Below are 16,020 nucleotides of genomic sequence, written 5' to 3' on the forward strand. Positions count from 1 at the left end.
GTAAAAGTTTCCATTTTCAAAAAAAGCATTAAAATATAGTGTGAGGCCGGGCATGATGGCTCATTCCTGTAATCCCAGCGCTTTGGGAGGCTGAAATGGATTGTCTGGGCCCAAGAGGTTGAGGCTGGTGTTTGTGCCACTGCACACCAGAAGCCTGGGCAACAGAGCTTGCCCCTGTCTCAAAAGAACAAACCATGGTTTACCACAACCAACAGGAAAATTCTGGATAAAACTACATATGAAATATTTACTGCTGTGCTCAACAAGGTAGTATAGAGGCCAAAGGCAAAGTCCTGGGGTCAGGCCACCTGGTCTGCTATCTAATTAGCTGTGTCATCTTTGGAAAGGTACTTGAACTCTCTGTGCCTTAGAATCCCTTTTCTAAAATGTGGGCTGGGCGCAGTGGCTCATGCCTGTAATCCCAGCACTTTGGGAGGCTGAGGCGGGTAGATCATCTGAGGTCAGGTGTTCGAGACCAGCCTGGCCAACAAGGTGAAACCTGGTCTTTATGAAAAATACAAAAATTAGCCAGGCATGGTTGTGGGCACCTTTAATCCCAGCTAGTTGGGAGGCTGAGTCTGGAGAATTGCTTGAACCCAGGAAGCAGAGGTTGCAGTGAGCTGAGATCATGCCACTGTACTCCAGCTTGGACGACAGAGCAAGACACTGTCTCAAAAAAAAAAAAAATGTGGATAGCAGCATCTACCTCGAAAAATTGTTGTGGGATCAATAGTGTGGAGAACCTACCAACTATAAAAAAAAGTTTCAGGACCCCATATAAATTTATCACACCAAGGGGGAAGTTACACCCTGATTGAGCCACATAGCATGTTCGTAACTTCTGGTTCTTAAATTATAATTTATTCTTTCCTTATTATTTTCATTCTGTAAATGACTATGAGAGACCAGAGACTAGACCTCCTCTCCTTCCAATCACTCATCTTTGTTAAAAGATTAACTGCCTCCTTTATTGTTCTGTACCTAACTCACACCAGATGGCACAAAAGACTCTATGACTTACATCTTCAGTGTGGAAGGTTAAACACACCTTTCCCGGAAAAAAGACCACCTCATCTGGGCACAGTCACTCATGCCTGTAATCCTAGTACTTTGAGAGGCCAAGGTGAGTGGATTGCTTAAGCCCAGCAGTTTGAGACCACCTGGGCAATGTGGCAAAACCCTGTCTCTACAAAAAATACAAAAATTAGTTGGGTGTGTTGGTGTGTGCCTGTAGTCCCAGCTACTAGGGATGCTAAGGTGGGAGGATGGCTTGAGCCTGAGAGGTTGAGGCTGTAGTGAGCTGCAATTGTGCCCCTGCACTCCAGCCTGGGTGACAGAGTGAAAGAAAGACCACCTGGACTAAACGGAGAGGTGCTTTAATTCTGCTAAGGTTCTCTAAACTTTGTCTATGTAAGTGATCCCAAACTTTTAAGCCTTGGAACACTGACTTCCACTCTTTGGTATCTGTGGTTCCCAGGTGGCCCTCCTAAAACTCTGTGCATGAATAAACTCCCTTTAGATTCTGACCCTTTTGATTATTTGAGATTGACACACTGTGCAATATACATTATAATATGCAAATATTAACCTTCAGAGTAGTCTATCACATTTAGGTAGAAATCCTTTTTTTTTTTTTTTTTTTTTTTTGAGATGTAGTCTTGCTCTGTCGCCCAGGCTGTAGCACAGTGGCATGATCTCGGCTCACTGCAACCTTGGCCTCCAAGGTTCAAGCAATTCTCCTGACTCAGGCTCCCGAGTAGCTGGGATACAGGCACCCACCATCATGTCCGGCTAATTTTTGTATTTTTAGTAGAGATGGGGTTTTGCCATGTTTGCCAAGTTGGTCTCAAACTCCTGACCTCAGGTGATCTGCCCACCTCGGCCTCCCAAAGTGCTGGGATTACAGGAGTGAGCTACAGTGCCCGGCCGACATTTAGGTAGAAATCTTACACATATTCCTATCTTTGGTCTCTCTCCGCTTATCTTTGTGACCTTTTCTTTACAGATAAGAACAAATCATTTGTGGACTTGAAAAGAGTTACCATAGTAACTGAAAAAAAACCCGGGAGAGTTAAAATGCCATTCTTGCTGCTCTCTTTTAATTAATAAACTCTAAAAAGGCTAATCCACTTGGGCACTACTTAATTAACAATCAATTAGTAAGGAAAAGATATCGAAGCAGTAAACTTAAGTGACAGCGAAAAGTTCTGTTGACCAAACATGGATTCTCTCCTCCTCAGAACCAAGTTACAGTTGGAGTTACAGTAAATACTTCGAACAGGTCCTTCGGTATCCTGTAGGAAATACAGACAAAAACGCAGGTCATTTACTTTTTTGTTTTTCTTTTTTTGACACAGGGTCTCACTCTGTCGCCTAGGCTGGAGTGAAGTGGGGCGATCATGGCTCACTGCAGCCTAGACCTCCTGGATTCAAGCGATCCTGCCGCCTTAGCCACGCAAGTAGCGGGGACTACAAGCACGCGCCACCACGCCCAGCTTATTTTTTGTATTTTTATAGCGACGTGGTTTCACCACGTTGACCAGGCTAGTCTGGAACTCCTGAGCTAAAGTGATACGTCTGCCTGGGCCTCCCAAAGTGCTGGAATTACAGATCTGAGCCACCGGGCCCAGCCCAATTACTTTCTTCAGTCTGAGTATGAGCGCCGGAAGAAAAGCTCCTACCTGCATCTATTTTTTTTAGACACAGGGTCTCCCTCTGTCACCCAGGCTGGAGAGCAGTGGCGCAATCTCCGCTCGGCTCACTGTAACCTCAGCCTCCCGGGCTCGATCGCATATATATATATATATATATATATATATATATATTTGTGTGTGTGTGTGTGTGTGTGTGTGTGTGTGTGTGTGTGTGTGTGTGACGGAGTCTCGCTCTGTCGCCAGGCTGGAGTGCAGTGGCACGATCTCGGCTAACTGCAACCTCCCCCTCCAGGGTTCAAGCCATTCCCCTGCTTCAGCCTCCCAAGTAGCTGGGACTACAGGCGCGCACCACAGTGCCTGGCTAATTTTATATATATATATATATATATATTTTAGTAGAGACGGGGTTTCACCATATTGGCCAGGATGGTTTCGATCTCCTGACCTTGTGATCCGCCCGCCTCGGCCTCCCAAAGTGCTGGGATTACAGGTGTGAGCCACTGCACCCAGGCATCGATCGCTTATATTTTTAAAAAGATGTTTTCTTCGTTTCCTAGCCCCTTCTACCCACCTATGAAGTTCCGCAGGCTTTAATGCTATTGCTATGGCCATAAGAGGCCAAGCTGGCGGGTGCGGTTCCCTAATACGGTTCCCTCAGAGGCAGCCGACTCTGCCCAGGGCGAGCAGCGCCGCGCCGTGGGGGGACGCTCCTAGGGTCCCCGGGGCACTGGTTGGGGGAGGTGTTGGGCGCACGTACCCAGGCTCAGGTGAGGCGAGTGCGCATCTTGGGATGCAGCTGGCGCTGGCGGCGCTTGCGCTGGCCATTGAGGAGCTTCTGCGCGACCTTGCGCTCGTGCCCGCCAGGTGCAGGCCAGTTGGTGCGCAGCGCCTGCTCGCGCCGAGTCCGGCCCTTGCTGCGCCCTGCCCCGCAGGCCGGGAAGTCGCGCAGGTAGTAGTAGTCCAGGCAGTCGTAAAGCTCCTCCTCGTAGCTTATGGGTGGCGGCGGCCGAGCCAGAGCCTGCAGACGTGGAAGCGCCCGCTCTGCGGGCGCTTCCATCCTGCCCAGGCCTGTGGCCACCGGCGGCCACCTGCCCGCGTCTGGGCGCTCCTGGAAGACCCAGCAGCCCCGCCTCGAGTTCCGATGGGCTCCGCGTGAAGGTGGGGGTGCCTTCGGCGACGCCACAGAGGCGGACCTTCGACGACGTCACAGTGGCGGTACAGTGCCTGGAGCAGGGCTGTCTTCTCCTTGGAGTGCAGCCTGGTAACCGGGACCTCCCCGCCAGGTCCTGTTGTTGCTGGAGAAGGGTAGCTGACAAACTCCAACTCAGCACAGTGTTTATGTTGGTCAAAAATAGGAAACTATGTTCAGGCGCGGCGGAGGTGGGAGGATCCCTTCAGGCCAGGCAGTCAAGAGCAGCCTGGGCAACATGGCGCGACCCCATCTCTGAAGTCCCACCTCAGCTTCCCAGCTACTTGAACTCCAAGGTTCATGGCTCCAATGAGCTATGTTCCCACTACATCACCCCAGCCTGCGAGACTGAGGTAAACTCTGTCTAAAAAAATAAAAAAGAAAACTATCCAAGTGTGCAATAGGGAGGGACTGCTTAAAGAAAACATGAGGCTGACTGGGCCCTGTAATCCCAGCATTTTGGGAGGCCGAGGCGTGAGGATGGATGGCTTGGGCAACATGACGAAACCCCGTCCCTACAAAAGATACAAAAATTAGCCGGGCGCGGTGCACCCCTGGCCTAATTTTTGTATTTTTTGTAGAGATGGGGGTCTCGCTATGTTGCCCAGGCCAGTTTCGTCCTGGGTTCAAGTGATCTTCTCACCTTGGCCTTTAGAGTTGTTGGGATTACAGCTGTAACCCTTCCTGGGTTAGGCTATTTAATAACATAAGAAAGTGTGGTGACTCCGCCTCACCTTGGGAGGCCAAGGCGGGTGGATCATCTGAGGTCAGGAGTTTGAGACCATCCTGGCCCATGTGGTGAAACCTGGTCTCTACAAAAAACGCAAAAATTAGCTGTGTGTGGTGGCACATGCCTGTAATCCCAGCTACTCAGAAAGCTGAGATGGGAGAATTGCTTGAACCTGGGAGGTGGAGGTTGCAGTGAGCCGAGGTCGCACCACTGCATCCCAGCCTGGGCGACAGATCGAGACTCCAGAGTTTGAGACCAGCCTGGGCGACAGATCGAGACTCCAGAGTTTGAGACCAGCCTGGGCAATGTAGTGAAACCTTGTTTCTACAAAACACACAAAAAAAGCCAGGTGTACCTGTGTCCACCTGTGGCCCCAGCTACTTAGGAGGCTGAGGCAGGGAGATCACTTGGGGCCAGCAACTCAAGTCTGCAGTGAGCTATGATCATCCCACTGCTCTCCATCCTGAGCAATAGAATGAGACCATGTCTCTAGATAGCTAGCTAGATAATTGATACATAGCTTTCTGTCGGAAATTTTTTTCCTAGATTTGAACCTGTTTTTCTAAAGTAGCATTCAACACATCAGCATTTTACAGTATTATTAGTTGTTAATATGATTGTTTTTCTGAAATACTGTATCCTTTACAAAAGCAGTTTTGTCTTTCAAAGCACATAGATAGGTCCTCAAGTGAATTTGTCTGATGTTGGTGACCTTGGTACCATTTTCTCCAGTTGATTGGAAAAGTCAGTCAATAATTTCAGGTCACTGTTGGCCTTAAAGAAGAGCCCAAAGGTAGTAAGCAAGGGTGCTGGTGTTCAGTCGCCTTCTAGAAGCATTTTCACCTTCCCTTAATGTTTCTCTTTATGAATATAGAAGTACTGTATGTAGAATTGACCCAGTGCTGCCCTGGCAACTTTGTAGATTAGGCCAGATTTACATTTTTTACCTTTATGAGAGGCACCCTGGTAGGCTAGTGGAGTTACACATGAAGTCTGATCTCAGCTGCACTGTCCAGAGATGCAACACAGTCCAATCAAATAACATCCTCTGAGCCTGTTTCTTTAGTTGTTAAATAAGGATAATAATTATACCCATCTAAAAAGACAGCTTATTGTATTTGAGTGGTCTTTTATTTTCTATGAAACTGTCTTTAACACAGCAATTATTTTCATTGCCATACCACATTTGTGTTTTGTTTTTGTTTGAGATGGAGTCTGTTTTTTTTTTTTTTTTTTTTTTTTTTTTTTTTTTGAGATGGAGTCTTGCTGTTGTTGCCCAGGCTGGAGTGCAGTGGCATGATCTCGGCTCACTGCAACCTCCGCCTCTTAGGTTCAAGTGATCCTCCTGCCTCAGCCTCCTGAGAAGCTGGGATTATAGGCGCCCACCACCACACCTGGATAATTATTTTTATTTTTTAGTAGAGATGGGGTTTCATCATGTTGCCCATGCCGGTCTCAAACTTCTGACCTCAAGTGATCCACCTGCCCTGACCTCCCAAAGTGCTAGAATTGAGGCACTGAGCCCAACCTCTTTTTACATAAGAATTTCTTGGTTGGGCGTGGTGGCTCACACCTGTAATCCCAGCACTTTGGGAGGCCGAGGTGGGAGGATCACCTGAGGTCAGGAAGCATTTATTATGTATTTATATGCCCGATATTATGTGAAGCACTTTACTATCTTATCAAATCTTCAGGATAGATCTTCAGTTCTCATGACTACAGGAGGATACTAAGGCTCAGACAGGAGAAGAGACGTGGCCAGCCTGTGTCCCCAGAGTCTATGATCTTACCACTAGGTTACAGTGCTTCTGGGGAGCACATGTTGTGAGGTTTTTGCTTTAAAATGAACCAATAAAAAACAAAGGCAAAAAAGGCATAAGCTATTAAAAAGTGGGAGAAACACTAAGAGAACCTTAAGCACATAACTAAAAATATTATGGAAAAGTTATTGAATTCATTAGCAAATTTACTCTAATTCTAGATTTTCATTGAGGGATATATTACTCATGATGAAGAAAAAAATGTTCATTTCAAGTATATTAACATAAATACCATCAATATGGTTTATCATGTTTAAATGTTCACTTAAAGCAATTCAGTTAAAATTCTGCATATCATACAATATTATAGCTTGCTAGTAGATTGCAAAGTAAATAGTCATCCAAATAAAAACACCAAAGCACATGATGTTTTTCACTGGTTGTTGCTATTTTTAGGTGAGCATTTGATATATACCAACAGATAGATAATAACATATTGCTAATTTCTTTCATCATCATATAAAGGTGGGTTCAGGATAGAATGGCATAAGGGCAAAGAAGAATTTGAAATCTAACATCAACTCGGTGATGCATCAAGATAAAAGTAGAGGCTGGGCGCGGTGGCTCACGCCTGTAATCCCAGCACTTTGGGAGGCCAAGGTGGGTGTATCATGAGGTCAGGAGTTCGAGACCAGCCTGGCCAACATAGTGAAACTCCGTCTCTACTAAAAACTACAAAAAAAATTAGTGGGGCGTGGTGGTGGGCACCTGTAATCCCAGTTACTCAGGAGGCTGAGGCAGGAGAGTGGGTTGAACCCGGGAGGCAGAAGTTGCAGTGAGCCGAGATCGCACCATTGCACTGCAGCCTGGGCAACAGTGCGAGACTGTCCCAAAAAAAAAAAAAAAAAAGATAAAAGTAGAGACAATAGGGGCATCTTGGTGAATACCAAATTTAACAAGGCAGATTAAGAGAAACAGTATTAAAACATTCAATTAAATCCCTAAGATCCAGGGCTTTGCAATAAATATGTAAGTAAATCTCCAATATCCATGCTGAAAGTTTAAAAGAAATGATAATGATAATTAAAGAAGTACAACTTTTCCTTAGCTTTGCAGTAATCTAGAAACAAAGAATGTTTCTAATATTTAGACACTACAAAGAACCTTACAAGGAGAAACCTGTAAGTATGGCAGGATTCACCAGCAGCCCTGGGCTTGTCCACAGTACCCCATGATGAACAGTAACTCCATTGTGTAAATGCTCATGAACAAAGGATTACAGGACTTTTCCAGTTTAGACATACCATATTTTCTTTCAGACAATTCTTCAACTTGTTTACATAGATCAGCCATACGATTATTCCATTTCTCTGAAAATTGAGCAAAAGTTGATTCTCAATAATATGTCCCTATGTCAGAGCAGCACTAACATATAATGACTTATTTCCAATATTTTACATCCTCACAGTCCATATCATTTCACTGCTTTTGAATTTTTTTTCCCCTTTTTTGGTGGTTCTTAGAATTAGTTTAATGGGAGACTATAAGAGAAGTTTTAAAGTTTAGTACCTCTTTTTAGCCTTTTAATTTCTGAAAAGCAGGAGGGCAGAAAAGATGAATCAAAAACAACAGGGAGGCCACAATGAGGAGGTCTCCAGGGGTCTGTTAGCAAACTTCCTAAAACATGTCTCAGCTGTGTGGAAATAAGACTTTACAGCAGCTGGGTGTGACGGTTCAGGCCTGTAATCCTAGCACTTTGGGAGCGGAGGTGGGCAGATCGCTTTGAGCTCAGGGCAACATAGCAGAAACCCCCCTCCCCACCTCCACCCCCGCCCCCATCTCTACCAAAAATATGAAACTAAGCCAGGTGTTGTGGCAGGTGCCTGTAGTCCCAGCTACTCAGGAGGCCGAGGCAGGAGAATCGCTTGAGCCCAGAAGGTGAACATTGCAGTGAGCCGAGACCACGCCCCACTGCCGGCCTGGGTGACAGAGTAAGACTCCATCTCAAAAAAGAAAGAAGGGAAAAAAAAAAGGTTAAGAGGGACCCCAGACCTTAAAAATACAAGTTTAAGAGGGACCCTGGCTGAGCATGGTGGCTCATGCCTGGGATATGGGAGGCTGAGGTGGGTGGATCACGAGGTCAAAAGATCTAGACCATCCTGGTCAACATGGTGAAACCCCATCTCTACTAAAAATGTATACAAAAAATTAGCCAGGTGTGGTGGCACACACCTGTAGTCCTAGCTATTCAGGAGGCTGAGGCAGGAGAATGGCGTGACCCCGGGAGGCGGAGGTGACAGTGAGCCAAGATCGCGCCACCACACTCCAGCCTGGCAACAGAGCAAGACTCCCTCTCAAAAAAACAAACAAAAAAAATAGAGGGACCCCAAAGCAAAAAATCCCAACACTTTGTCTCCCAATCCCAATCACTGAAACACCAGGAGAGTATAATAGTTTTGCAGCCTAGCTGTAGTAGACTGATAGTGACCCCCCCAAAATGCTCATATCCCAATCCCAGGGATCGGTGAACATGACCGTATATGGCAAAAGGAGCTTTGCAGATATAATGAAGTTAAGGATTTTTGGCCAGGAGGATTATCCCAGCTTGTCCCTGCGGGGTTGATGTACTCACCAGGATCCTTAGAAGAGCAGGTGATGGAGAGGGTGGGAGGTGTAGTGATGGAAGCAGGAAACATGAGTCATTGAAAAAGGGCAGCAAAAGCTGATGAGTGAAGGCCGCCCCCAGGACCAGGAAATGGATTCTCCCGGAGAGCCTTGCAAGGCATCGAACCTGCTCCCACCTTCACTCAGTGGGACTGACTAGAATTCTGGCCTTCAGAACTCTAAGGGAATACATCTGTATAATTTTAAGCCACTAAGTGTGTGGTACTTTGTTGCAGCAGCAACTAGAAACTAGTATTGTAGTGAAGCCTCAAAACCCACCTGAAGGGGCCGGCGGGTGGCGGCTCATGCCTGTAATCCCATCACTTTCTGAGGCCAAGGTGGGCAGATCACTTGAGGTCAGGAGTTTCAGACCAGCCTGGCCAACATGGTGAAATCCCGTCTCTACAAAGAGTACAAAAATTAGCCAGGCATGGTGGCACATGCCTGTAATCTCAGCTGCTCAGGAGGCTGAGACATGGGAATTGCTTGAACCCAGGGGGGTGAAGGTTGCAGTGAGCCAAGATTGCACCACTGCACTCCAGCCTGGGCAACAGAGCGAGACTCTGTCTCAAAAACAAAAAAACAAAACAAAACAAAACAAAAAAACAACCCACCTGAAGAAGATTTCCAGTTCTGTCAGCCGTCTCCCACCCAACCCCCAGAAGCAGACATTCCTTTGCTGTGGGCCATGGACAGGCAGAAGGAAGCACCTCCTCATGGCAGAGGCCTACCCAGGAGAAACCCAAGGGAAGGTACTGCCGGGCCATCCCCTCTGACAAGGCCATTTTCTTTACACAGTTTCACTCTGTCTCCCAGGCTGGAGTGCAGTGGCAAGATCTCAGCTCACTTCAACCTCTGCCTCCCCAGTTCAAGTGATTCTCCTGCCTCAGCCTCCCGAGTAGCTGGGATTACAGGAGCATAGCATGCCTAGCTAATTTTTGTATTTTTAGGAGAGACAAATTTTCACCATGTTGCTCAGGCTGGACTCGAACACCTGGCCTCAAGTGATCCACGTGTCTCAGCCTCCCAAAGTGCTGGGATTACAGGAGTGAGCCACTACACCCAGCACTTGCCAAGACCTTTGATGGCAGGCCTTTTCCAGGTGACCACTCCTTGTCTGGTCTGGTTCTGCCCCACTTTCCCTCTCACCAAGTTGGAATCCCTAGCTACTTTTCAGTAGAAGAGAGTGTGTACCCCAATCCCAGCTTGGTATGGGTCAGACCTGCATTTAACTCATGGAACCTGGCTGCTCCCCAGGCCCTGAAGAAAAAAAGGGTCTCTCTGTGGGTATGATACAGGATGGGCCTGTCCCAAGGACTCTGTGAGAGGGAAGCCCAATGTCCCACCGGGTTGGCAGGGCTGGGGAAGGGAAAGTGTTATGATAGCCCTAAGACTAGAAAGAGGCAGCAGAGGGAGCAGGACAGCACTCACATGGAACTCATGCCACTGCCTGAGTGAGGGGAGGGAGGAGTGCATGCCAGTGACGTCAGGGGGCAGAGAGGCACGGTTCCAGGGCGGCTTTCCCCCTCACTTCCTGCCATGTTACTCTGATCCCCTCCAGGTGAGCCTGCCCACTTTGGGCCCAGGGTTGCCACTGGGGCCTATATCAAAATGCAGACCCCCCTGGCCATGGCCCCAGGAGTAGGGCAGAATAGGGAGGAGTTCTGGACAGAGGAGAGGCAGGGCAGGAGGGAGTGGGCCTCAAACTCCAGGAGGGGGCCCTTCCCATGGGTTCTGCTTTCTGGCCTCTCCTCCCTTACTCCTGGGGTGATCAACTGGGGAAGAACTGAGGTAAGGTTTCTCACCCTCAGGTCCAGGGGTACGATTACTGGGCCCTTTTAGGAAGGTGTGAGCCCCCTGAAACAATGTAAGGTTTTGTGTGGAGAGCGTGTACATGCGTTTCTTGGAAAACGGCCCACAGCTCTTACTCTCAGCAGTCTCCACACTCAAAAAAGTTTAGAACTCTTGCTACAGAGCTGTGGGAGAAGCTAGATGAGGGGCCTGCCAAGGGCATTCTGGGGACTACCTGGCCACTCCTGAGCCCACTGTCCCGTAGGCAGGCAGCACTGCTTGGTATTTGCAGAGCTGAGGAGATGGGGCATGCAGGGACAGTGAAATTGCCCTGAGATGACCCACACTCCTCAGCTGGGAAGTGAGGGGTGTGTCTCCTGCAGCATCCTCCATCCCTAGAGCCATGGGGCCAGGAGAACTGGCCCTTGCAGCAAGTGAAAAGCCTATTATTCACTCCCTCCCTGGCCATGTAGACAGTGAACCAAGGGCACTCATATCAAGTAAATGCCTTGGTCTCTGTGAACAAGGTGACCAGTAGGCATTCCCAGGTGCAGTGAAGGTCCTTACACCAAAATATGCACCTGGTCACCTGAGGAAAGAGACAGGACTATCTGAGGGGATGGGGCTGAGCTGGGTATGGAGTGGTCCTTGTGGGTCTTGGTGAGTGGGAGAGGGAGCAGCATGAGCCCAGGCTGAACAACCAGGAGAACAACTAGGCGATAGCTTGGAAAAAGTGCTGGACCCACAAGCATTCAAAGCTGGCCAGAGAGGGAGGTGGAATAGGCTGAGAAGTCCCAAGTTCTGAAGATTGGCCCTGGAAGGCAGAAACCAGGTAAGGTGGGAAGTTACCTGCACCCTGGGGGCCAGGAGCATCCTTAGCCCAGAGCAGGTGCCAAGATTTCTGGCTCTGGGTGTGACCTCAGTCTGGAGAAAAGCCCCAACCTCCACCGAGACCACCTGCCCCCCTAGACTACTTCAGATGCTGAGCCCAAGCTAGGGGCAGGAAGCTAGACTGATGCCTAAGGTAATCCCAACAAAGTCTCTGGTTCCCCCCAGCTATAGGGCCAAAGGGGAATTATAGACCAATTATAGACCCCCCCAGGTGCTGGCTCTCAAACTAACACTGAGCCCTCAGTGCCCACAGGAAGATACAATCAGCGCACTTTCCAGATGGGGAAACAAGCTCAAAGAAGTGCAAGAGCCTTGTCCAATGCCCCAGACCAGGACTCCAGGCCCAGAGTGTTTTTGTTTTTTGTTTTTTTGAGACAGAGTCTCACTCTGTCACCCAGGCTGGAGCGCAGTGACGTCATCTCGGCTCACTGCAAACTTTACCTCTCGGATTCAAGCGATTCTCCTGCCTCAGCCTCCTGAATAGCTGGGACTACAGGCGCCTGCCACCACACTCAGCTAATTTTTGTATTTTTACTGGAGATAGGGTTTCCCTGTGTTGGCCAGGCTGGTCTTGAACTCCTGACCTCAGGTGATCTGCCCGCCTCGGCCTCCCAAAGTGCTGGGATTACAGGCATGAGCCATCGTGCCCGGCAGGCCAAGAGTGTTTTTTGTCACTGTGTCCAGAGTGCAGCAGCTGCTCTGATGTACCCACCTAAGCCTGGCAACATTCTCCAACTTTGGAAGCCCAGGAGCACGGCCCATGTCCACAGATGCACCTGGCATGAGGTGTGCCCCGAGGGACGGAAGCAGGTGAGTTTTGCCTCCTTCACTGGTTTGTGAGAGCCTTGAAGGAGACAAGGATCTGCTTGGGAAAGCCCTTGAGACATCGCACAAGGCTGGCAGTGAACACTGAGCAACCTGGGGCAGTTTCCCTCTGGATGGATCCGTATAGCCTGAATGGGACCTGGCTCAGACAGAGCTCAGTTCTCCAGGTCACTGAGGCATGGAGAGGTCACAGCTACCAAGTGTAGGAGTCTGGATTCAAAGCCAACAGCGTGACTCCAAAGTTCCTGCCCTAGCTCCTGGACCACCCACCTCTCGGGAGTCACCCTTGCAGGCTCATCAGATGCCCAGGCCAGCAGCACAGCCGGACAGGGCCAGGGAAACTTGGGGAGCCTCAGAGTACCCCCAGGTATTGACTATGACAGTAAAATATTAAAATACTATTTTCAAAATGTATACAAGCTTAATCTATTTATTCAAAATATGAATCATCAACATAATTTGCCACTAATATCTCATTCAGTCCCTTCACAGGACACATAATCCACTGGGAGATAAGAGTTTAGCAGCTGGCAGGCAGTGATGCACAGCAAAAACAAAAACCAAGAGGTGAAATAGTTCTGAAATAAACAAGGTTTTAAAGCTAAGAGAAATTATTGAATTACTAAGTCATTACCACTAATTTTGAGCCAACTAACTGATTAATATGAGATGATACAACGTCCTATGCTTTGGTAAATAGAAACCATGTTTAAACAATGTATGTAATGTGACTTTCAAAATGCTCCTGGCTTTACAAAGATGTGATTAAAATGTAGTAATACATGCTAAAGCGTTTCCCCCTGCAGAGCATGTTGTAAGTTTAATCAGTCACATTGAGAGTCCGGAAGATGAAGGAAAAGGCTGTGGATTTCGCTGAGAACTTACCAGAGTTGAACTCCCTCACTTTCGGTTCCCCAGCATTGGCGGGTTCCGGGACTGGTGGCTGTGGTGGCTCGTTGGTCTTTGTCTCTTAGAAGGTGGAGAATAATCATCATCTTGAGAAAGAAAAAATGGTCATTACTGAAGGAACCATCTTAGGTTACAGCTACCTCCGGGTCAATTCCCAACATTCAAAAGCTGAGCAGGGCTTTAAAGCTATTTTGAGTATTAATAATTCTTTCTGTATTGTGAACTTCAGTATACTTTTTCTACTTACATTTGAAATGTTATTCTTTTGGGATGTGCTCAAGTGAATACTGCTTTTTCCTCGTCTTGCTTCATTATTTTTTAGTTTGCTTCATTTGAATCATCATTATAAATCTCCCTTTCTCCTCAAATAACTTTCAAGTTGATGCCAAGAACTATATTGTATTTTAAGCCTTTTCAGAAAAAACTTTAACAAAGACAGTCACCTAAAGTTATACAAATGTAGAAGAAAGGGGATAAAATAAAGCTTAGATTGGAAAAAATATTTAAGCTTATACAAAATTCAAGCATACATAAACAAGGGAAGCTGGATAAGTGTATGTACAAATACTTTTAACAAGTGCAAAATATATAGGTTTAAAGAAATAGGGCTGCCTGGGCGTGGTGGCTCATGCCTGTAATTCCAACACTTGGAAAGGCCGAGGCAGGCGGATCACTTAAGGTTAGAAATTCGAGCCAGCCTGGCCAGCATGGTAAAACCCCATCTCTACTAAAAGTACAAAAATTAGGCTGGGTGCGGTGGCTAATGCCTGTGATCCTAGCACTTTGGGAGGCCAAGGCGGGTGGAACACCTGAGGTCGGGGGTTTGAGACCAGCCTGACTAACATGGAGAAACCCCCGTCTCTACTAAAAATACAAAATTAGCCAGGAGTGGTGGTGCATGCCTGTAATCCCAGCTACTCAACAGGCTAAGGCAGGATAATCGCTTGAACCCAGGAGGCAGAGGTTGTGGTGAGCCGAGATTGTGTCATTGCACTCCAGCCTGGGCAACAAGAGCAAAACTCCATCTCAAAAAATAAACAAAAAACCCCACAAAAAAACAAAAACCAAAATTAGCCAGGCATGGTGGCACCTGTAATCCCAGCTACTCGGGAAGCTGAGGCAGAAGAATCACTTGAATGCGGGAGGCGGAAGTTGCGGTGAGCCAAGATCGCACCACTGCACTCCAGCCTGGGTAACAGAGCAAGACCCTGTCTCAAAAAAAAAAAAAAAAAAAAAGAAATAAAGAAAGAAAGAAATAAGGCTACATTATTTATGAAACAGATACTGTTGACTCAGTCACCAGAAAGCCTGTGTATAAATCAGCAGTGAGATATTCAAGAACAGCACACACACACTACTCAGGACAGCTGTCGTGAGAGTTCCATGCTCATTTCTTTGTGGATACACCAGCAACTCACTCTGCTATGATTCTCCAATACACATCATGTTAGAATTAGAGACATCTGGGCCAGGTGCAAGGCTGAGGCAGGCAGATCATCTGAGGTCAGAGGTTTGAAACCAGCCTGGCCAACATGGTGAAACTCTGTCTCTACTAAAAATACAAAAATTAGCTGAGTGTGGTGGTATGCACCTGTAATCCCAGCTATTCGGGTGGCTGAGGCAGGAGAATTGCTTGAACCCAGGAGGTGGAGGTTGCAGTGAGCTGAGATAGTGAGATAGCGCCACTGCACTCCAGCGTGGGCAACAGAGCCAGGCTCTGTCTCCAAAACAAAACAAAACAAAACAAAAAAAGAATTAGAGACATCTGGATCGAATCAGCTGCCACTGTCATCTTCTAGTCCCCTAAAGTGTCAGGTAACATCCTATTAAGATTGCTACTCACACATCATCTATAAAATACGGAAAATATCATTTTAAGAAATCTTTTTTTTTTTTTTTTTTTTTTTTTTCTGAGATGGAGTTTCATTCTTATTGCCCAGCCTGGAGTGCAATGCTGCGATCTCACCTCATCACAACCTCCACCTCCCAGGTTCAAGCGATTCTGCCTCAGCCTCCTGAGTAGCTGGGATTACAGGCAGGCATCACCACGCCCAGCTAATTTTGTATTTTTAATAGAGACAGGTTTCTCCATGTTGGTCAGGCTGGTCTCGAACTCCCAACCTCAGGTGATCCTCCCACCTTGGCCTCCCAAAGTTCTGCCAGAGAGGAGGGGCAGGAACAATAGTGATGCACCCGGCAGAAGAGGTAATATTTTCCAAACATAAACATTAGCATAACCTTATTGGACTTGTAAGAATATATATATATTTTTTAGTAACAGAAGCAGAAGATTCTCCTGAACTGCATCATTTCAGCTAGCATTTATTTACTCAAGATTAAAATAATACAACAACTATAAAAAGTCAAGAGGTGGGCAGGCACGGTGGCTCACACCTGTAACCCCAACAGTTTGGGAGGCCGAGGTGGGTAGATCACCTGAGGTCAGGAGTTCGAGACCAGCCAGGCCAACATGGTGAAACCCCATCTGCACTAAAAATACAAAAATACAGTGACATTCACAGTGGGAATTTTCATACTGGCTGGAAGCATCCACCAAAATTAAAGGTATAGATTATGTGGGTTTCATTTTTCAGACTATTCCTGTTC

At 47.2% G+C, this 16,020-nt stretch overlaps 1 protein-coding gene and 1 long non-coding RNA gene across 2 annotated transcripts; both read right to left on the bottom strand.

Annotated features, from left to right (window-relative positions):
• Positions 1–2,077: 2,077 nt before the first annotated feature.
• Positions 2,078–3,814, bottom strand: NUPR2 (nuclear protein 2, transcriptional regulator). Its single transcript, NM_001145712.2, has 2 exons — positions 3,412–3,814; positions 2,078–2,294 (listed from the first exon to the last, which is right to left on the bottom strand). Exon 1 carries the CDS (start codon positions 3,709–3,711, stop codon positions 3,418–3,420), a length of 294 nt encoding a protein of 97 aa, NP_001139184.1. The 5' UTR covers positions 3,712–3,814; the 3' UTR covers positions 2,078–2,294; positions 3,412–3,417.
• Positions 3,815–7,278: 3,464 nt separating this feature from the next.
• LOC105375288 (uncharacterized) lies at positions 7,279–14,727 on the bottom strand. The gene is made up of 3 exons (XR_927277.3): positions 13,661–14,727; positions 13,390–13,499; positions 7,279–7,703 (listed from the first exon to the last, which is right to left on the bottom strand). It is a non-coding gene; the product is annotated as an uncharacterized LOC105375288 (long non-coding RNA).
• Positions 14,728–16,020: the final 1,293 nt, after the last annotated feature.

The sequence above is a fragment of the Homo sapiens genome, chromosome 7, assembly GCF_000001405.40.
Source record: "Homo sapiens chromosome 7, GRCh38.p14 Primary Assembly".
NCBI lineage: Eukaryota > Metazoa > Chordata > Mammalia > Primates > Hominidae > Homo > Homo sapiens.